The following is a 23,483-nucleotide window of genomic DNA, read 5'->3' on the forward strand; positions in this document are numbered from 1 at the left end:
TTTATGTAATAGATTTTGGCCTAGGCCAGCTGGTAACAAGTCACAATTATGAAGGTATGTAGCATGCTTACATCAGTGGGAGAACGTCCTCTTCAGAAAAAGCAAAGCAGGGGCCAGGCGCGGTGGCTCACACCTGTAATCCCAGCACTTTGGGAGGCCAAGGAGGGTCAGATCGCTTGAGCCCAGGAGTTCAAGACCAGCCTGGGCAACATGGTAAAACCCAGTCTCTACCAAAAAAAAAAAAATTAGCTGGATGTGGTGGTGCATACCTGAAGTCTCACAGGCTGAGGTGGGAGAATCACCTGAGCCCTGAAGGTCAGAACTGCAGTGAACTGAGATTGTAGCACTGTACTCCAGCCTGGGTGACAGAGTGAGAACCTGTCTTAGAAAAAAAAAAAAAAAAGAAAGAAAGAAAAAGAAAAGCACAGGTTTTAGGGCTATTCCTTAAAGGATATAATGAAAGACAATGGGGAGACATAAAGACAAGGTGAGGACCGCCCCACTAGGCAACAATAGGTTAGCAAGCCTTGCTTGTACTTACTGTAAAAGACACAATAAGAAAATGAGGTGGAAGTGGAGGGAGAGATGTATATTATATATGAAAGACAAAAGGTAGAGTTATGAAGACCAAGGAGAAATTCTTTATGAGACAACAAAAAAAGCAAATAAGAATTTAAAAAGAAAAAGGCCAGATACGGTGGCTCATGCCTGTAATCCCAGCACTTTGAGAGGCCGAGGCAGGTGGATCACTTGAGATCAGAAGTTCGAGACCAGCCTGGCCCACATGGTGAAACCCTGTCTCTACTAAAAATACAAAAATTAGCTGGGCATGGTAGCAGGTGCCTGTAATCCCAGTTACTTGGGAGGCTGAGGCAGGAGAATCGCTTGAACCCGGGAGGCGGAAGTTGTAGTGAGCCAAGACTGCGCCATTGCACTCCAGCCTGGGCGACAGAGCAAAACTCTGTCTCAAAAAAAAGAAAAGAATTTAAAAAGAAAAAGAGAGAGAGAGAGAGGAATAAAAAAAAATCTGGGATAGTTTTATCCAAAGGGCAAAGGCAGGAATAGTCTCAAAACAGGGCCTTTGTAAAACAGTCTAGAGATACATTGAAGAGAAGAATTAGGATTCTTTCAGCAGGATCCAGAAATCCGTCACCAAAATTTGGGCCAGAGATCAAAGACGGATTTAATTTGGGCTCAAACTTCCCCAGAAATCAAAAGTGGAGATTAAAAGAAATAGATTAATCTGAAAATGGAGACTAAAGAGAATGTGAAATAGCTATACTCCCTAAATTCAAGACCTAGCTACAAAAAGAGTATTCAGACCAAAGACACTGATGACCATGCAAGGGTAGCTGTTTGGTATTTTTCAACTGAGCCATTATAGTTCAGCATTACCCAAGAGAAATATAATGGCATCCCTAAATGTGAGGGCATATGTAATTTAAAATTTTCTACTAGCCACGTTTTTAAAAAAGCAAAAAGATTAGTTGGGCATGGTGGTGCAGGCCTGTAGTTCCAGCTATTCAGGAGGCTAAGGTGGGAGGATCACTGGAGCCCAGCAGTTCAAGGCCACAGTGAACTATGACTCCACCACTGCACTCCAGCCTGGGTGACAGAGCAGGACCCCATCTTAAAAATTTAAAATAAAATAAATAAAACTTTAAGAAACAAAAAGAAACAGCTGAAATTAATTTTAATAATATACTTTTAACCAAAGTTAGAAGTTTCATGTACCAAAATGTTACAATTTCAGCAAATAATCAATATGAAAAATGTCTTGAGATATTTTACATTCTTTTTCCTTCATGCTAAGTCTTCAAAAATCCTTCATATGTTTTATACTTTACAGCACATCTCAATTCAGTTTGAACATACTTCAAGTGTTCAAGAACCACATGTGGCTTGTGGCTATTATATTGGACAGCACAGATATAGAGTATACATATGTGTATATGAGGTCCAAATATCATATATATTATAAAGAAGGCTTACCTATGTAGCACACAAATGATACTGTAAGTTCTTACCGTCAGTGAAGTTTAATCATGCATTGGAACTTTCTGTAAGTGCTAAACAAGAGTGGGTTGAGTAGGAAAATACTAGATAAACAGAGCTAGTAAAGAAAGGCTGGAATCTTGGAATACAATCTCAGATATAGAAATACACATTATTTTTGACCTTGGGCACAGCAGTGAAAAGGCAACTTGAGTTCAGTCTACTAGGTGAGATGAAGAGCTGCGTTGCATTTTCCACAAGAAATGGTGCTAATGATTTCACAATGAATATTAATGCAGTACAAGAGTTAGTTCAATAATGAAACAGAAATGAAAAAAGGAGAAAGAAAAACTTACTTAAATTTGTAGCTTTCTCGCTTATTATTCACAAACCCATCTGCCAAATCACGTGGTAAGATGATTTCCAAGCTAGGTATTAATTTTTCATCTTCATCTATGGAATAAATCTGCAAATGTGAAGACAACAAATGGATATAAAATGGTGAAATTATGGCTTGAACTATCACCATGTTATTATGACTTGTAATGATATGAAAATTATACTCTTAAGATTAAAAAGTCATAATATCATATAATTTGAATAATTTTTCTCTTTGAACTGTGTGGATTCAGACAAATATATGGAACTGAACCAGAAGTAAAACCTAAATTAATGCTGTATCAAAGTCAGATCATCTTTGAATGATCTAACATTCAAATATAAGTATTTGACTATCTCTGTTATTATTGTCATTGAGAAACTAATAGCCTGAAAGCAACATTTTATCTAAGTATTGCTTTAGTATTGTGTATCAGGAGTTAACATTTTACTACAATCAATAAGCATTTCTGAGCATTTACAAAATACCAGAGATAAAGGGACTAGGTTTGGAGCCATCTCAGATAGCTCACCAAGAATGCTCTAATTCAAGTTATGTTCAAAGAAGCCTAAGGTTCCATGAGACATTTTCAGGCATTTGATAAGAGAGATGTGGCTTCAAAAGACACATGTAATTCATGTATTTGATGTCATTTTCAAGGTTCTCCTTCCAACTCAGCCACTAATTAGCAAGTGACCTGGGAGAAATCCTTAAGCCTTTCTAAGCTGATATGGAAATAGAGGGTCTTAACCAACACCCTTAGGACTGTAACATTCTCTGATTCTCTTCCTGGTTTCCTACTCCATCATTTTTATTGGCCAGGAAAATTAAAAGTCAAGCCTATAAAGAGGTCATGTGGAATAAATAAAAGCATAAGATTTGTCCCAAGACTTGGGTCCAACACTGAGCTCAATTTACCAGCTGTGTGACCAGCCACCACTTTCAGAATTGAGGTTCCTTGTACATAAAATGAGGAAAACAGAATTACCTCCCTTACAAGATTGCTGTGGGGATCAAATGATGTAATGGAAATCACCATAAAATTGTAATGCACCATAAAAAAAAAAAGTCATTAGATTTAAAGGTTTTTTTTTTTTTTTTAAAGGCTTCTTGTCTTTTACCATGAAATAAAATTCCTTCTAACAGGCAATACTTCCTGTTTAAGACCCATTTAGATGCTTGGTTATGAGGAAAAAGTCATATTCCTAAGCAAGTAAAAGCCTACCTAAATCTCCAGAAAGTTTGAATATTTTCCTAAGTATATTTTTATTGAAACTTCTCATTTAAAATGTGAAGAATTCATGCAGAAAAGTCATTACATAAAATAAAGTATTTGTAGAAAGCAATGGCATCAGGTTCAAGGCTTTCTGGCTAGGTTTTCTCAAGAGACATTTAAAAATTATATCCTGTTGGGCACTACATTAAAAAAAAAAGTTTTATAGCCAGACAGGTGAGTGAAGGGGGTGTATAAGACATGAAACATACAAGAGTGAGGAGTTACATCCATTTTTAAAAAGTCTATATTTCTCTGCTCAGCAGACAGAAAAGAATATTAACTGCCATTAATGACCCTCCACTACTCTGATTAAGACACTCTTTGAGGCCTTAAGAAAAGTCCCTTAGAACCAGATCACTTGTTTAGTGTAATATTGGCTTTCTATCCTTATTCATAAAAATATTATTTGAGATAGTGAAGTTTTTTTTTTAAGAAGACAGAACAAGTGCAAGGATGATTATGAAAATGTTTTGAAATGTATAAAGCACTGTACAAATGGAAAGCATTACCACTGTTAAAACTATCAAAGATTCATTTTATATATCCTTTTTATTAATCTGTTATTACAATTTACTTTATGATGCCTTAAAGAATAAAAGTAATGCAGTAATGAAGCTATAAAATGAAGAGAAAGAAAAAAATTCCTTTGAGTCACTCTCAATTTAATACTACAAAAAGCATTTCTAGTCAGAGAAAGAACTCTACAATCTTTTGCGGACAAGAAGATATGGCATTAAACTGTGGAGTTTTTAAGGGCGAACAGGGATATACTAATTCAATATTTATTCATTCCCATTCTCTTTGTGTGTATGTGTGTGTGACACCTAAAAATATGACACCTAAAACTACTTCCTGGAGGATCAAACAATCCACTCTACAGACTCACCAAAGACATACAAAATGAGGTACATTAAAATATCCAAACACTGCATTTTAAGAGAAAAGAAAGTTCAGTATTAAATCCAAGACTCTCCATCCACTTCCCTGAGCCCCACCCCTACCCATCCTGTCTCTTGACCTTATCCCAGCCTCTGCTCTGACTGCTGAGCCCATGTAGATAAGCTCAACAGTTTAAGCTAAGAATCTGGGGGGAAATGTTACATACAATACACTTTTTACATATGATGCACTCTAAAAAGAAATGCATGTAAGTGATTATTAGAGGAGAGAAAATGGGAAGATACCCATGGTTCTTTCTACACCACTTTATTCCTGTTTTAAATACATAAATTATACGAGGCAAATGCTTAATCATGAGATGCTATGATATTCCACATAGACATATACCCAGTATATATATGGAACAGGAATACAACATTATTAATATGCCCACTCCATATACTCACAAATATGATCCAAATTGCCCTTGCCTAAATTGTCACTTTGAGAGGCAAAAAAGGTTTCCGAAAAGGGGATAGCTTTGAAATCAAAAATCCTTAATTAAAATTACAGCTCTGCTGTTCACAATAGCAAAGACATAGAACCAATCTAAATGCCCATCAGTGATAGACTGGTTAAAGAAAATGTGGTACATATATATACACCATGGAATACTATGCAGCCATAAAAAAGGATGAGTTCATGTCGTTTGCAGGGACATGGATGAAGCTGGAAACCATCATTCTCAGCAAACTAAAACAAGAACAGAAAGCCAAACACCACATGTTCTCACTCATAAGTGGGAGCTGAACAATGAGAACGCATGCACACAGGGAGGGGAACATCACACCCTGGGGCCTGTCGTGGGGTGGGAGGCTACGGGAGGGATAGCATTAGGAGAAATACCTAATGTAGATGACAGATTGGTGGGTGCAGCAAACCACCACGGCACGTGTATACCTACGTGAGAAACCTGTACGTTCTGCACATGCACCCCAGGACTTAAAGTATAATAACGAATAAAATAAATGTTCTAAAATTGAAAAAAAAAATTACAGCTATGCCACTCCCCAGCTGGGTGCCTTGGTCACATTATTTAACCTGAGACTCAGTTTCCTAATCTGTAAAATGCGGAAAATGACACCAACCTTGCAGGGTTCTTGTGAGAATGAGAGATAATGCAGATAAAGCACCTGTCAGGTGGCCATTTCTCAAGATACATAAGAATGACTATGCTCCCTTCTAGGCAGAAGAGAGGATGTTTTGAAATATTTAAGAAGCATAAAAAGTGCTGGGCGCGGTGGCTCACGCCTGTAATCCCAGCACTTTGGGAGGCCGAGGCGGGCGGATCACAAGATCAGGAGGAGATCGAGACCATCCTAGCTAACAGGGTGAAACCCGGTCTCTTCTAAAACCACAAAAAATTAACCGGGCGTGGTGGCGGGCACCTGTAGTCCCAGCTACTTGAGAGGTTGAGGCAGGAGAATGGCGTGAATCCAAGAGGCAGAGCTTGCAGTGAGCCGAGATCGCGCCACTGCACTTCAGTCTGGGTGGCAGAGCGAGACTCCGTCTCAAAAAAAAAAAAAAAAAAAAAAGGTGCATACAAAGTATCATTGCTCAGAGTCAGGGCAATGTCTTAACCTTCTTTATACCTTTCTGAATTTAGCACACTAGAGGAAGCACCTGGTAAATATTTAGTTAATTGTTTCTGAATGAAGTACACATGCGTATTCTTTGGGTCAGGATGCTTAAGCATCTACCTATATCTATTAATACAAGGAGTATATGTAAAGGTTCACGTTTATGTTGGAGAATAACAACAGTCAACTAATTACTGAGGCCCCACTGGGTGCAAAGTACTACATATGTGTATGCTTTGTGCATTTGTGTCTATCTATATTTGTATTATTTCAGAGGTACATAAACACGCATCTCTTGCTTGCACGTTTTGCCCGAGTGCCAAAATGTACCTTTGAGTGTATCTGCATGTGCGGTGCTGCGTGAGTTTCCCAGAAAGGTGCAATAAGTGCTTATGTGTAGTTGAAGCGCACACTATACAGGCATACTGAACATGCACTAGTCTGCCCCCGCGTGAACACGTGTGCCTGGGTGCAAAAAAAATGGCTCTCTGCCGGGTCTGCGCTGTGCCAGGTAGGAGTGGCCTGGCTGTCGGTCGCGTAGCTGACAGCAGTGCGCGGGGGTCTTCGCGGCTGCAGGGCTCCTCGGTCAGTGTGTGCGGGATTCCGGGCGGCCTCGGCGCCCACCAGCAAGCCCCTCACCTCCGCCCAGCCCCTTCGCGTGCCGCCGCCCGACCCCAGCCCAAGAGGCCCCGCCGCGCCGGCGCCCCGGAGGCTCCAGCCCGTACCCCTTGTTGGTGCTTCCGGACAGGGGGCTTCACCCTCGCGAATATCTGGATAGTCTGCTTCACCATCTCCTCCCTGGCTCTGCAATGACCCTTGACCTCTCTCAGGCCCGGGCTGCCAAAACTAACTCCCACCACCTCCGGCGACCCACAGTCTTAGCAACAGTAGCTAGGGACACTACCCAGTGAGCACCTTGGCAGCCAGGATCCCGCCTCCTCCCTCTAATTGGTCGCGACCGGAAGGAGGCCACTACGGGGCGGGGCTAGGGAGGGGAGGGCGGGGGTGGAGAGGAGAGCGCTGCGCATGCGCATGAGCGAGTGTCTGGGCTCTGGGTTTAGCGCCGGACCCGGCCTGGACCGTGTGGTTAAAGGGGAACAACCACCATGCCTTGCCCCGCCCCGCTCATTCACCCATTTTATTCTCCATGCCCTTGCCTTTAAAAAAAAATACAGCACTGGGCCGGGCGTGGTGGCTCATGCTTGTAATCCCAGCAGTTTTTGGGAAGCCGAGGTGGTAGGATCGCTTAGAGCCCAGGAATTTGAGACCAGCCTGGGCAGCATAGTGAGACTCCGTCTCTACAAAAAATACAAAAGTTAGCCAAGCGTGGTGGCGCGCCTGTATCCCAGCTACTCGGGAGGTTGAGGCAGGAGGATCGCTTGAGCCCGGGAGGTCGAAGCTGTAGTGAGCCAAGATTGCAGAACTGCTCCAGCCCACTTGGAGATCACAGTCTGAAGAAGGAGACAGATTTTTTTTTTCCTTCACAAGGTCTCTCAAGTGACAAGGAGACAGATTTTCAACAGGAAATCAAAACCAAGGAATACAAACTATGCCATGATGGAATTAGAAGTGGGGCTAGCTCTGTTTTGGAAAAGGATAAAACTGGATGAAGGGGACTGTTTCCCACACAATGGTCACGGCAAGAAAGGATGAGCTCTTCAAACACTGTTAGCACATGAAAAGATAGTCAACATTATTATCCACGTGGGAAATATAAGTTAAAACCACAATGAGGCATCACTATTCATCTATCAGAATGGCTTAAAAAAAAAAAAAAAAAAAAAAAGTGGCAACACCAGATGCTAGCAAAGATGTGGAGAAACTGAATCAGTTGCACTTTACTGGTAGGAATGTATAATGTAAAACATACACTGTATAAAGGTACAGCCACTCTGGAAAATAGTTTGACAGTTTCTTACAAAACTAAAGGTGCAACTACTCTAAGACACAGCAATTGCACTCTTGGGCATTTATCTCAGATGAATGAAAACGTGTGTTCACACAAAAACCTGCGCATGTGTGTTTATAGTTTTAGCACCTTTATTTGTAATAGCCCCAAACTGGAAAAAAAACCCAGATGTTCTTCAGCTGATAGTTTAAAATAACTGGAATACCATTCAGCAATTAAGAAGGAAGGAAGTGTTGATACACGTAACAAATTGGTTGAATTTTCGGGGAATTATGTTTCATGAAAGAAGCCAGACTCGAAAGCTAACTACCGTATGGTTCTATTACTATTGCCAGGGAGGTGTGCAGGGTATGGTTATAAAAGAAATCCTTGTGATGGGCTGTTCTGTATCTTGACTGTGATGGTGATCACAGAAATCTACACATGTGATAGCATTGCATAGAACAAATTACACACATGTTCAAATAAGCACATGTAAAACTGGCAAAAGTCACATAAAATTGAATAAGATTGATGGATTGTATCAATGTCAATTCCCTGATTTTTATATTGTACTATAGTTATGCAAAACATTACCACTGGGGAAAACTGGGAGATGGGTATACGAGTTCTCTCTGTATTATTTTTTACAAAACAAAAAGTTTATTAAAGACACCCTTTTTTCTTTCTTTCTTTTTTGAGACAAGGTCTTGCTCTGTACCCCAGGCTGGAGTGCAGTGGCATGAACACGGCTCACTGCAGCCTCAACCTCCTGGGCTCAAGCGATTCTCCTGCCTCAGCCCCACAAGTAGCTGGGCTTATAGACATGTGCCATCACACTCAGCTAATTTTTGTATTTTTTGCAGAGACAGGATTTCATCATCTTGCCCAGGCTGGTCTTGAACTCCTGAGGTCAAGCAATCCACCCACCTCAGCCTCCCAAAGTGCAGGGATTACAGCCATGAACCACTGCACCCAGCTGAAAGACACTTAAGAAAACAAAAAGACTAACTACAGATTGGGAGAAAACTTTTGCAAAACACGTATCTTGATAAAGGACTTGCATCCAGAATATATACAAACTGTTAAAACCTAATAATAGAAAAACAAACAATTCATTTGTTTAAGGTGAAGGGAGGGTGCAAAGATTTGAACAAACGCTTCACCAAAGAGGATCTATGGATGGCAAATAAGCACATGAAAAATATGCTCAATATCATTAATCATTAATGAAATGAAATTAAAACCACAATGAGATACCACTACACATCTCTTAGAATGGCGAAAAATAAGAAAATAAAACTGACAAAACTAAGTGCCGACATGGATGCAGAGCATCTAGAACTCTCAAACATCACTGATGAGAAAACAAGATGGACCAGCCACTTTGTAAAATAGTTTTGTAATTTCTTATAAAGTTATACACATACTTACCATATGACACAACAATCCCACTCTTAGTTATTAACCCAAATGAAATGAAAACTATGTTCACATAGAAACCTAAACATGAATGTGTATAGTGGCTTTATTCACAATTGCCAAAAACTGGAAACAAAGTAAATGTTCTTCAGCTGGTAAATAGATAAACAAACTGATATATCTATGCCGTAAAAAGGAATGAATTACAGATGCCTACAACAACATGGTTAAGTCTCACATTTATTATGATGAGTGAAAGATACCAGACTCACTGCGTACTTTATAATTCCATATATAATTGAATTATATATAATATATATCTAATTATATATATCATATATAATATGTTATATATGTTATATATTATATGTCATATATAATTATATTTATATCTGTATATATATATGACATTCGAGAAAAAAAAAAACTGTAAGGATAGAAAACAGATCAGTGGTTTCCAGGTGCTGAGGGTAGGAAAAGGGGTTGACTGCAGATGAACATGGGAGAGTTTTTTGGGGGGTGATGGAACTGTTGCATATTTAGATTGTGGTTGTGGTAACATAAGTATATGCATTTGTTAAAACTCATAGAACTATCTATACACTTAAAAGAGTGAATTATACTGTATATAAACTGTACCACAATAAGAAAAGAAAAAAAAAAGAAGAAGATTGAGTATGAACAGGTGCTGCAATATCAGGAATTGAGAAGAAGAGAGAACCAGGTATTTATTATATAGACTTTGGGGCTTTTTCACCTAGCAAGGAAGAGATGACTCAAGATTGGGTGCAGGTATTCACCTGGACAAGCAAAATAGATGGGAGTGGGAAAAAGGAGGAAATAAGGAGTTGGGGACATGTTAAATTTCAATTGCTTGTGGGACTTCAGAAGTAACTGGATAAGGTTTAGGAGTAAGTTATGGTGGAAATATAGGCTTGGGAGTCATCACAAAGTTTTTTCCAGAAAGTAACCAAGTCACTCACGAGCATCAAGGTTGAAATCCTAACACTGATGGTTGGAGGTGGAAGAGGGGCTGCAAAAGAAGTTGAAGGAAGCAGCCAGAGAGGTCTGAGAGAGAAAAGGGAATGTTATGCCATGGAAGCCAAGGGAAGAGAACATTTTGAGAGGAAAGTATTCAACGGTGTTGAATAGTAAAGACAATGCACTGAAAAACACCCATTTCATTCAGCAACTAGAAAGTCATTAGTAATATAGATTTCAGTGGAGTAGCAGTGTCAGAAGTCAGGTTGCCAGAGGCTGAAGAATAAGTGGGAAGTTAGGAAGTGGAGGCAGTCAAGATAGGCTACTTTTCACAGAAGCCTAGTTGTGAAGGATTGTGAAGAAGCAACACACAGGTGAGAGCTAGAGGAACCCAGCGTACCAGTGGTCTTTGTCCATATCCAAAGGGGTATATCTAATAAACAAGGGGAGGTTGACGGTATGGGGAAGAGAGAAGAGAATGGGTGTTTTCCTCAGATGAGCAATTGCACTTACCAAGAGGGTGTAATGGAAGGTGACAAGGCCAGGGAGCCAAGGGTATTCACAAAGGAGCATTTTAATCATGAAGTCTAGGCTGCTTAAAGATACCTGTGGTCTTTGAAGAAGTGTTGCAAAAGGAAGAAGGGAAATCTGTGGGTCCAGGATGTGGGATCTTTAACAATTCCTGTCTTGAGCTCTGGGTCATACAATTAAATGTTTCGATGGAGAGAAAATGTGGGTTCCAATCCTGCATCTGTCATTCCCAAATCCTGTGTTCATCTTTACTTGTGTGACCTTGGGCAAGTAATTTATGCTTTTAAGTCTCAGTTGCCTCATCCAATAAATGAAGATAGATAATAACAATAGCTACCTCATGGGGTTATCATGGACATGTAATGTGGGCATTAACGTGGTTTCCGGTGAATAGAGAATGCTCATATCTAAAGGGTTCTGACCTGTGGATTGAATTCCTTTGATTGTAAACACCTTCTAAAGAGCAGAAACAATGGCATACATATGCATGTAAGACATATTGGAGATTGCAAACTCAAATGTCTCCTGGGGCCAGACCAATGATGTAAATTCATCAAGCAGACAGGCATATGACAATAGGGAGCGTCATGGTGAACTGGAGACTAGTGCCCCAACTAAAACCATTCACATTCAAAATGGTTACAGCACAGTACTGCCTAAATAAAGCACATTTGCAGGACCATACTTCAACCCCTTTTTCTGTTTCTGGTATAACTGACCTCAGTAACTCCCAGGCCCACTGCCTCTGACAGGTTTACCTAAATCTCAAACAGATGGCTGTAATGTGTACAAAATAGGTTTTGAGATTAAATCTCCAAGTCACAGTGTCTTTCCCACCCCTGGATTTATATTCAGTGTTATTATTTGTATTTTATCTGCTTGTTTAAATGTGAGAATTAAGATGCTTTTCAACTATTTAAAAGATGCTTGAACTTTGTAGTTGCCAAAATAACAGATAATTGTACCAGGCAAATTAGCCAGGGTTTATAAGCCTCAAATCTGAAAGAAATTAAGCTGTGCCTGAAATGAATTAGTCTATCGGTAAGTTAGTTGGATTTGTTTGCTTGTATGTTTCGTTTTGTTTTGTTTTGTTTAAAAAAAAAATGAAACTACGCTCTCGCACTAGTTTTCAAATACCTCTTTAGCTGTTGCTGCTACAACTATAAAATGCATTATTTTATTTTACAAGTCTGAAGAGGGACCAGTAAAAATGTTATGGGCTGTAATTTTGATATAGAATATGTACATAAAATTACCTAATTGCAGTCAATTTCCTCCTCCCCTAGTTTATCCATGGCTTTGGGGAATTTATGTTTTTGCTTGTTCAAAAATCTTTCATGGTCACAGCATGACTGTCCCCTCCCACCCCCGCCATTATAAGGTGAACAAGACTTTCCAGACAGGTGCTGGAGACTTCACTAACAAGAGAGAAAACATTTGACTGGGGTCTTCTTTTAATAACTACCTCCAAGAAGCAAGGCCAGTCATCAGAAATTTGCCACTTATTAATAAATAGCAATATTAATGGAACAAAAGTCAACCAAGGCTGGGTGCAGTGGCTCACACCTGTAATCCCAGCACTTTGTGAGGCCAAGGCGGGTGGATCATTTGAGGTCAGGAGTTTGAGACCAGCTTGGCCCTGTCTCTACTAAAAAATACAAAAGTTAGCCGGGCGTGGTGGCACACACCTGTAATGCCAGCTACTGGGGAGGCTGAGGCAGGAGAATCACTTGAACCTGGGAAGCAGAGGTTGCAGTGAGCCGAGATTGCACCACTGTACTCCAGTCTGGGCGATGAAGTAAGACTTCGTCTCGAAAAAAAAAGAATCAACTTATGTAAACTGTCCCTTTATATTTGGTGATACTGGGTAGGACTTTGGGCACTGTATGATTCCTGGGTGTCCCTGATTGAGGATTTCATGGGAAGTAGTCAAAAGAAGAGGAAGAAAAAACATATTTTCTGCGGAGGAGACTTTCATCAGAAATCCCCTCCCTATCAGTCTGTGGGTGGTCAGTACCAGAAGGATCCTCTAATACCAGGCAGTCTAAGAAGGTAATTTATTTCATTGTTTCTGAACCAAGTGGAGAATACTCAGAGCAATTTCTGGTACTCATTAAATGCCAAATAATAACAACATGCTGTTAAATTGCAGAGCAAGGGTACCACAAAATCTGTAATATATAATTTTAGCAAAAAATGTTCTTCTGAGAATATGTTCAGCTAATTTAAAGCATAGTTTCATTAGCATAACCATCTTTCCACATATAGCGGAGTGGAATTCATAAAACGTCACCAGCACTTGGGTCGATAGGATTTTGCCATCACACTCGGTTCTCTCTCCTGCTGGTTCTTACCTCTTTGGCTAAGAAGCAGAGGCCCCTTTCTCCCAATTTATCTGATCTCTTCCTGCAGCACCCCCTGGAGCTCCCCCTGAAGAACAACATCAAAGCCATTTAGGGCTGGAAGCTGGTGGCCAGCCATATGGAATTACAGCCCAGGCTCTTGCCGGATTATAGACTATAACATATGAACCAAATGACAGTGCCATGGCATCGAGGGAAAGCTGGTAAAGCCTCCAGTTTTGAATGGAAAATATGACTGTGTATTTATACACAGGCTCCTCATAAACAACCTGAATGTTTCACCAACATCCCGAGGAAACAAGGGATGGGCTGAGTTAAAAATAGCTCTAGAACGCCTCTCTTCTAACTAAATTACCCATGCTGTCCTATCTCCTGAGGGTGTTTACTTAAATGTGCTTCTTTGCATATTTCAGAATTAGAAAAAATGCTTATCAACAAATAACTGAAAACGTAAAAGAAAATGGCTCACATAGCAGAGAGCCTTATCTGACACATTATTATTGTCACAACATCCAACCACACCTTATTCATCCTGAATCTGGGTATTTGGCAGTCGAATCTATCCAGGTCTCTACTTCCTAATCTCTCATTTACTTTTCAACCTCCTGCAGTCTAGTTTCTGTCTCTCCTCCTCCATGGGACCTATTTAAACTTTGCACCTCCAGAGTGACACCTTTTGTCTGTACATTTTGGAATATTGTCATGATAGAGCCAGTTGCCTAGGCATGACCTCAAAGTTGCCCTTTGCTGCTTCCTCTCTCTAGCATATCTACATCCAAATAGTTTCCAAGTCCTGGTTATGCTGCCTCCTGAATAATTTTTTCCTCCCTCCCCTCAACTTTGTCCTCACTACTTACTACTTGCTTTAGTTTGGCTCTTAGTCTCTTTGCCAGAACTAGCAAAGTTCTCCTAACTGCTTTTCCTGCCTCTAATCCCGCCCTCCCCTTTATTCCGTCTGTTACAACCGCTGCAAGATTATACAATGCAAACCAGTTCACATCAGTGCTTGTTTGAAGACCTCCAATCCCTGTTACAAATAGAATCAAGGCCAAAAGTCCTTCATAACCTGGTCCCCAGCTGTCTTTACATCACTTTCATAGCCCTTACCATGTCTTCCACCTCCTCTTCCCTGCCCCTGTACGCCAGCCACAGATTTCCTGCAGTTCCCAAGCACGCCGTGTTTTTTCATTTCTCCATGCTTTTGTCAGGACCATTTCTTCTGTTTTCAGTGCTGCCTCCCACTTTGTCAGGAAAATTCGACCTATACTTCAAGATCCAGCTCAAATGTCACCCGGTCTGGAAAGCCATCCCTTCCATCTCCCCTAGCGAAGTTAGTGACCCTCTTCTGTGAAGCTACATCTTTATACGTTCCTTTGTATTAGTGCTTCTTTCGCTGCCAATGTTGTCAATATGTATCTGTCTCCTCATCATTCTTAGGATTATTTAAGGGCAGCGACTAAACCCTGTTTATCTTTGTATTTCCAGTGACTAACAAGGTTTAGGTACTGGGGAGATTTCTACATGTGTATTGAATGAATGAGTGGATGCAGAACTCATTGCAAGGAATTGATTCAATAAAACCTTTACAAATTAAAAATTTTTATTAGAGCTTCATATTTTCATAGTGAAAATTACTTTCTCTTCCTGTTTCACCCAAGAAAACAAAGACAATCTACAAATTGAGTAGACATTTAGCAAGAGAAAGAATTAAATCATGGTTTCCATTTCTGAACCTTCTTTTTTCAGGCAAAAAAAAAAAAAAAAAAAATGGTTGCAAATTTCCCAGGGTGATAAACAGAGTACATTAACATTTGTATCAATGGAAGACAACAGAAACAGGATCTGAGGGAGTGATAGGTATAGAAGCACAGTGGCCCACTGTTAAATTAGTGAGTTTCTTTCAGGATGTCTGGGAAGCATTTAATGACTCTAGGGATCAATTTGTTTTTAATTTAAAAAGAATGCATCGTTTACAAATCACCAATTAAATACTTATTCACCTTCTTTTATTTCGTATTAAAATGGACTTTCAGATGTTTGACAAAGGCAGTTTGCTCTTCCTCCTCTGCCATGACTTTTATTTCCCCAAATACAAAAAGAATGTTTCCTAAATTACACAGCTTGTAACACTTTTCTCCCTCCTCTTTTCCAAGCCTTTGCTCACTGCTCAGGCAGAACTGAAACATCACTCTCTTTGAGAAGTCTCCCCTGACCCTCTCAGACTAGATTCAGAGCCCTAGCTACATGTGCCCTTAGCACCTTGGACTTTATAATTACTACTAGTCTAGGTTAAATGAAGGCCTAGATCACTTTTCACTTGCTCATCATCGTATTCCATTCTTGTATGTAGTAAGTGTTTAATAAATACTTATTTAATGAGAAATGACATAATGGTTAAACTGGTAAAAACATGCCTGCTGGGGGAAAAAACAACATTGTCTCAGATTGCATTCTCCCCAAACAGACACTGAGATGAGGATTTGGGTGTCAGGAATTTATTTGGGAGATGATCCCAAGAAAACAGGGAAAGGAAGAAAACCAGTGATAGGTGCATTTATGGGTGGATTTTCCCAGTGGGAAAGTAGGGCTCATTCCCACCAGGACCCTCCACAAGACTGTTACAGAGCACACCTCAGCATTGCTCCCCAAGGGGCGAAGAAGCAGGGTATTTATTCAACAGCTCCTGCTTTTCATTGCTGGAGGGCTGCTCTCGGAGGTGGGAATATTCTACCTCCCCAGCACTTCCAACTTACCCTGTGTGCCCTGACATTCAGAGAAAGCCGTTGGGCAGAGAGAGGTGCAGACCCTGGAGGCAGGATGCTTTTGGCATGTATAGGTATGTCCACTAAAGTTGCAATGATCTGCGGGGTGGACTGGGAAGAAGTGGGCAGAGTATCAACAGTGTCTTCTATGGTCAGCACTATTGATGTTTTTCTTCTAAATTTCTAAATTAAAAACATGTATGTTAGAAAATTACCAAGCATACTTGTGTACTTCTAAGTTTTATGTGGTTATCTAAGTAACAGGATCTACCTCTAAATGATAATATTATAACATCCTATAGTATGTGGTTATCTAAGTAACAGCATCTACCTCTAAATGATAATAGTATAACATCCTATAGAATCACAGTAAACCACACAAGATTCATCTGCTCTAGGAACACATAACATCCAATCATAGATGCTTAGATCACGTTCGTCAGCCAATCATCCTTTTAGTATTATTTACCTATTTGATGATCTCTAATCTGTGTCTGTGTGTGTCTTATAATATATAGTTTTGATAATATTCCACTTTTTTATATACTAAACATTTGTACTATACAATGTTTTCTCTGTGGATCAGTTGCTAAATCAAGGATTTAAAGGATTAAAGGACAAAAAGCTGGCATTAACTCTCCCGGGCAATGTGTTGGTGTTCTGTGTTTACATTATAATTTTTAAGTGCCCTATGGTCAAAGAAATTTGGAAAATTCTGTTTTAAAGTCAAGCTCTACTGAAAATGTTTTAATGGTTCCCCACTTTCCATTGAATTAAGAACATCTTACCAAGCCATTCAAGACACTCCACAAATTAGTTCCAACATGTTCCCCTTTCCCTCCAATCAAACTGAACCACGCGTCTCTGTCCCTACACAGCCTGCTTCACCGCCAGCACCCATCACCTTCTGTGGGCCTCCTTCTGCCCTGACCTCTCTTCTCCCCCATCTCCAATCTCTGCCTGCTAAATCACGCCACCTTTTAAGGTACATCTTAAATCCCATAAGTTTTCATTTCTCATCACACTTACAAAGTGAGGTCTCCATCTCATCTGCCTTTAAACCCTCTAGTCTCTGTGTTTACTTCTCTTGAAGCTCTTTATGTAGACTGCTTTCTAGTATAGCATTCAGAATGTGCCATTCTTTCCTCTAGCCTAATGCCTTTCTAAGACAGTTTAAAGTTCCCTCAAGGGCAGATCCATGACTTTCTCATTTTTGTATTCTATCCTACCTTTAGTAGAGTGCCTGGCATATAATACTCAAACGTTAAATGTTTGTTGAGTTGAATTTTTAAACTTGATTGTAAAATTCACTTACGGTATAGTACACTTTTTTGAAATACACAGTTCTGTGAATTTTGACAAATGTATACAGCCATATAACCATCACCATAATTGGGATACAGAACAATTCTATCACTCCTCCCACCTCCAAATTCTCTCATGTTGCTTATTTGTCATCAAATCATCTCCTCACTTTGGGCTCCTGACAGCTACTGATCTATTCTTGATCCCTATAATTTTGCCTTTTCTAGAATGTCATATCAATAAAATCATACAATATGTAACCTCTGAGTCTGGCTTCTTTGCTCAGTGTAATGTATTTGCAATTCATTCATTATTTTGCAAGTATCAATAGTTTGTTCTTTTGTATTGTTGAGTAGTATTCCATGGATTGGATGTACCACTGTTTGTTTATCCTTTCAACCACTTAAGGATGTAAGCCTTCATTTATCTAGGGTTAGTGCCTAGGAGAAGGATTTCTGGGTCATATTGTTAGTGTATGATTAAATTTATAAGAACTCCCAAAACTGTTTTCCAAAATGAATATACCATTTTGCATTCCCACTGGAAATATTTCAGAATTCCAGATGCTCTCTATCCTCATCAGCACTTGGTATTGACACTTAAGAAATTTTTTAGCCATTTAGTAAGTACTAGTGGGGGTGGAGCCAAGATGGCCGAATAGGAACAGCTCCAGTCTACAGCTCCCAGCATAAGCAACACAGAAGACGAATGATTTCTGCATTTCCAACTGAGGTACTGGGTTCATCTCACTGGGGATTGTCGGACAGTGGGTGCAGGACAGTGGGTGCAGTGCACCAAGCGTGAGCCGAAGCATGGCGAGGCATTGCCTCACGTGGGAAGTGCAAGGGGTCAGGGAATTCCCTTTCCTAGCCAAGGAAAGAGGTGACAGACAGCACCTGGAAAATCAGGTCACTCCCACCCTAATACTGCACTTTTCCAATGGTCTCAGCAAAGAGCACACCAGGAGATTGTATCCTGCGGCTGGCTCAGAGGACCCTACGACCACGGAGCCTTGCTCATTGCTAGCACAACAGTCTGAGATCAAACTGCAAGGTGGCGGTGAGGCTGGGGGAGGGGCACCTGCCATTGCCGAGGCTTGAGTAGGTAAACAAAGTGGCCGGGAAGCTCGAACTGGGTGGAGCCCACCGCAGCTCAAGGAGGCCTGCCTGCCTCTGTAGACTCCACCTCTGGGGGTAGGGCATAGCCAAACAAAAGCCAGCAGAAACCTCTGCAGACTTAAATGCCCCTGTCTGACAGCTTTGAAGAGAGTAGTGGTTCTCCCAGCACGCAGCTTGAGATCTGAGAACCGACAGACTGCTTCCTCAAGTGGATCCCTGACCCCCGAGTAGCCTAACTGGGAGGCATCCCCCAGCAGGGTCAGACTGACACCTCACAAGGCCAGGTACCCCTCAAAGACAAAACTTCCAGAGGAATGATCAGGCAGCAACATTTGCTGTTCAATATCCGCTGTTCTGCAGCCTCCGCTGCTGATACCTAGGCAAACAGGGTCTGGAGTGGACCTCCAGCAAACTCCAACAGACCTGCAGCTGAGGGTCCTGACTGTTAGAAGGAAAACTAACAAACAGAAAGGACATCCACATCAAAATCCAATCTGTACGTCACCATATCAAAGACCAAAGGTAGATAAAACCACAAAGATGGGAAAAAAACAGAGCAGAAAAACTGAAAATTCTAAAAATCAGAGCACCTCTCCTCCTCCAAAGGAATGCAGCTCCTCACCAGCAATGGAACAAAGCTGGACGGAGAATGACTTTGACGAGTTGAGAGAAGAAGGCTTCAGATGATCAAACTACTCTGAGCTAAAGGAGGAAGTTCAAACCCATGGCAAAGATGTTAAAAACCTTGAAAAAAGATTAGACGAATGGCTAACTAGAACAACCAATGCAGAGAAGTCCTCAAAGGACCTGACGGAGCTGAAAACCACCGCATGAGAACTACATGACAAATGCACAAGCCTCAGTAGCCGATTCGATCAACTGGAAGAAAGGGTATCAGTGATGGAAGATCAAACGAATGAAATGAAGTGAGAAGAGAAGTTTAGAGAAAAAAGAATAAAAAGAAACGAACAGAGCCTCCAAGAAATATGGGACTATGTGAAAAGACCAAATCTAAGCCTGATTGGTGTACCTGAAAGTGACGGGGAGAATGGAACCAAGTTGGAAAACACTCTGCAGGATATTATCCAGGAGAACTTCCCCAATCTAGCAAGGCAGGCCAACATTCAGATTCAGGAAATACAGAGAATGCCACAAAGATACTCCTCGAGAAGAGAAAGTCCAAGACATGTAATTGTCAGATTCACCAAAGTTGAAATGAAGGAAAGAATGTTAAGGGCAGCCAGAGAGAAAGGTCAGGTTACCCACAAAGGGAAGCCCATCAGACTAACAGCTGATCTCTCAACAGAAACTCTACAAGCCAGAAGAGAGTGGGGGCCAATATTCAACATTCTTAAAGAAAAGAATTTTCAACCCAGAATTTCATATCCAACCAAACTAAGCTTCATAAGTGAAGGAGAAATAAAATCCTTTACAGACAAGCAAATGCTGAGAGATTTTGTCACCACCAGGCCTGCCCTAAAAGAGCTCCTGAAGGAAGCACTAAACATGCAAAGGAACAACCGGTACGAGTCACTGCAAAAACATGCCAAATTGTAAAGACCATCAAGGGTAGGAAGAAACTGCATTGACTAATGAGCAAAATAACCAGCTGACATCAGAATGACAGGATCAAATTCACACATAACAATATTAACCTTAAATGTAAATGGGCTAAATACTCCAATTAAAAGACAAAGACTGGCAAATAGGATAAAGAGTCAAGACCCGTCAGTGTGCTGTATTCAGGAAACCCATCTCACGTGCAGAGACACACATAGGCTCAAAATAAAAGGATGGAGGAAGATCTACCAAGAAAATGGAAAACAAAAAAAGGCAGGGGTTGCAATCCTGGTCTCGGATAAAACAGACTTTAAATCAACAAAGATCAAAGAGACAAAGAAGGCCATTACATAATGGTAAAGGGATCAATTCAACAAGAAGAGCTAACTATCCCAAATATATATGCACCCAATACAGGAGCACCCAAATTCATAAAGCAAGTCCTTAGAGACCTATAAAGAGACTTAGACTCCCACACAATAATAATGGGAGACTTTAACACCCCGCTGTCAACATTAGGCAAATCAATGAGACAGAAAGTTAACAAGGGCATCCAGGAATTGAACTCAGCTCTGCACCAAACAGACTTAATAGACATGTACAGAACTCTCCACCCCAAATCAACAGAATATACACTCTTTTCAGCACCACACCACACCTGTTCCAAAATTGACCACATAGTTGGAAGTAAAGCACTCCTTAGCAAATGTAAAAGAACAGAAATTATAACAAATTGTCTCTCAGACCACAGTGCAATCCAACTAGAACTCAGGATTAAGAAACTCACTCAAAACCGCTCAACTACATGGAAACTGAACAATCTGCTCCTGAATGACTCCTGGGTACATAACGAAATGAAGGCAGAAATAAAGATGTTCTTTGAAACCAACGAGAACAAAGACACAACATACCAGAATCTCTGGGACACATTCAAAGCAGTGTGTAGAGGGAAATTTATAGCACTAAATGCCCACAAGAGAAAGCAGGAAAGATCTAAAATTGACACCCTAACATTACAATTAAAAGAACTTGAGAAGCAAGAGCAAACACATTCAAAAGCTAGCGGAAGGCTAGAAATAACTAAGATCAGAGCAGAACTGAAGAAAATAGGGACACAAAATACCCTTCAAAAAATCAATGAATCCAGGAGCTGGTTTTTTGAAAAGATCAACAAAATTGACAGACTGCTAGCAAGACTAATAAAGAAGAAAAGAGAGAAGAATCAAATAGTCGCAATAAAAAATGATAAAGGGGATATCACCACCGACCCCACAGAAATACAAACTACCATCAGAGAATACTATAAACATCTCTATGCAAATAAACTAGAAAATCTAGAAGAAATGGATAAGTTCCTGGATATATACACCCTCCCAAGACTAAACCAGGAAGAAGTTGAGTCTCTGAATAGACCAATAACAGGCTCTGAAATTGAGGCAATAATTAATAGCTTACTAACCAAAAAAAGTCCAGGACCAGATGGATTCACAGCCGAATTCTACCAGAGATACAAGGAGGAACTGGTACCATTCCTTCTGAAACTATTCCAATCAATAGAAAAAAAGGGAATCCTCCCTAACTAATTTTATGAGGCCAGCATCATCCTGATACCAAAGCCTGGGAGAGATACAACAAAAAAAGATAATTTTAGACCAATATCTCTGACGAACATCGATGCAAAAATCCTCAATAAAATACTGGCAAACCGAATCCAGCAGCACATCAAAAAGCTTATCCACCATGATCAAGTGGGCTTCATCCCTGGGATGCAAGGCTGGTGCAATATATGCAAATCAATAAACATAATCCAGCATATAAACAGATCCAATGACAAAAACCACATGATTATCTCAATAGGTGCAGAAAAGGCCTTTGACAAAATTCAACAACTCTTCATGCTGAAAACTCTCAATAAATTAGGTATTAATGGGACGTATCTCAAAATAATAAGAGCTATCTATGACAAACCCACAGCCAATATCATACTGAATGGGCAAAAACTGGAAGCATTCCCTTTGAAAACTGGCACAAGACAGGGATGCCCTCTCTCACCACTCCTATTCAACATAGTGTTGGAAGTTCTGGCCAGGGCAATCAGTCAGGAGAAGGAAATAAAGGGTATTGAATTAGGAAAAGAGGAAGTCAAATTGTCCCTGTTTGCAGATGACATGATTGTATATCTAGATAACCTCATCGTCTCAGCCCAAAATCTCCTTAAGGTGATAAGCAAATTCAGCAAAGTCTCAGGATACAAAATCAATGTACAAAAATCACAAGCATTCTTATACACCAACAACAGACAAACAGAGAGCCAAATCATGAGTGAACTCCCATTCACAATTGAATTCACAAAGAGAATTCAATTCTCTTTGAAAAGAGAATAAAATACCTAGGAATCCAACTTACAAGGGATGTGAAGGACCTCTTCAAGGAGAACTACAAACCACTGCTCAATGAAATAAAAGAGGATACAAACAAATGGAAGAACATTCCATGCTCATGGGTAGGAAGAATCAATATTGTGAAAATGGCCATAGAGCCCAAGGTAATTTATAGATTCAATGCCATCCCCATCAAGCAACCAATGACTTTCTTCACAGAATTGGAAAAAACTACTTTAAAGTTCACATGGAATCAAAAAAGAGCCCGCATCGCCAAGCCAAAAGAACAAAGCTGGAGGCGTCACGTTACCTGACTTCAAACTATACTACAAGGCTACAGTAACCAAAACAGCATGGTATTGGTACCAAAACAGAGATATAGACCAATGGAACAGAACAGAGCCCTCAGAAATAATGCCACATATCTACAATTATCTGATCTTTGACAAACCTGACAAAAACAAGCAATGGGGAAAGGATTCCCTATTTAACAAATGGTGCTGGGAAAACTGGCTAGCCATATGTAGAAAGCTGAAACTGGATCCCTTCCTTACGCTTTATACAAAAATTAATTCAAGATGAATTAAAGACTTAAATGTTAGACCTAAAACCATAAAAACCCTAGAAGAAAACCTAGGCAATACCATTCAGGACATAGGCATGGGCAAGGACTTCATGTCTAAAACACCAAAAGCAATGGCAACAAAAGACAAAATTGACAAATGAGATCTAATTGAACTAAAGAGCTTCTGCACAGCAAAAGAAACTACCATCAGAGTGAACAGGCAACCTACAGAATGGGAGAAAATTTTTGCAATCTACTCATCTGACAAAGGGCTAATATCCAGAAAACAATGAACTCCAACAAATTTACAAGAAAAAAACAAACAACCCCATCAGAAAGTGGGCAAAGGATATGAACAGACACTTCTCAAAAGAAGACATTTATGCAGCCAAAAGACACATGAAAAAATGCTCATCATCACTGGCCATCAGAGAAATG

General features: G+C 40.3%; 1 protein-coding gene across 10 annotated transcripts in view, besides 3 other annotated features; it reads right to left on the bottom strand.

Annotated features, from left to right (window-relative positions):
- The window catches only part of KIF6 (kinesin family member 6), a 395,419-nt gene extending 388,361 nt beyond the window's left edge, over positions 1 to 7,058 (bottom strand). For all 10 annotated transcript variants that reach the window (XR_001743238.2, NM_001289020.3, NM_145027.6 and 7 more), the window contains exons 1-2: positions 6,895 to 7,058; positions 2,352 to 2,461 (exon numbers count right to left, since the gene is read on the bottom strand). Coding sequence is in view for 9 of the 10 variants with exons in the window: in NM_001289020.3 (NP_001275949.1) it covers positions 2,352 to 2,461; positions 6,895 to 6,960 (176 nt within the window). In the remaining variant the exon portion in view is untranslated. The remainder of the gene's footprint in view (positions 1 to 2,351; positions 2,462 to 6,894) is intronic.
- Positions 6,779 to 6,848: a silencer, noted in NCBI's record as "silent region_17167". NCBI's record gives its function as "represses an Ori minimal core promoter by ATAC-STARR-seq in GM12878 lymphoblastoid cells {active_cell/tissue: GM12878}" and the evidence as "EXISTENCE:reporter gene assay evidence [ECO:0000049][PMID:35858748]".
- Positions 7,061 to 7,392: a silencer, noted in NCBI's record as "fragment chr6:39693187-39693518 (GRCh37/hg19 assembly coordinates)". NCBI's record gives its function as "represses an EF-1alpha promoter that drives an FKBP-Casp9 reporter gene in an ReSE screen in K562 erythroleukemia cells {active_cell/tissue: K562}" and the evidence as "EXISTENCE:reporter gene assay evidence [ECO:0000049][PMID:32094911]".
- Positions 7,099 to 7,298: a silencer, noted in NCBI's record as "silent region_17168". NCBI's record gives its function as "represses an Ori minimal core promoter by ATAC-STARR-seq in GM12878 lymphoblastoid cells {active_cell/tissue: GM12878}" and the evidence as "EXISTENCE:reporter gene assay evidence [ECO:0000049][PMID:35858748]".

Source organism: Homo sapiens, chromosome 6, assembly GCF_000001405.40.
Source record: "Homo sapiens chromosome 6, GRCh38.p14 Primary Assembly".
NCBI lineage: Eukaryota > Metazoa > Chordata > Mammalia > Primates > Hominidae > Homo > Homo sapiens.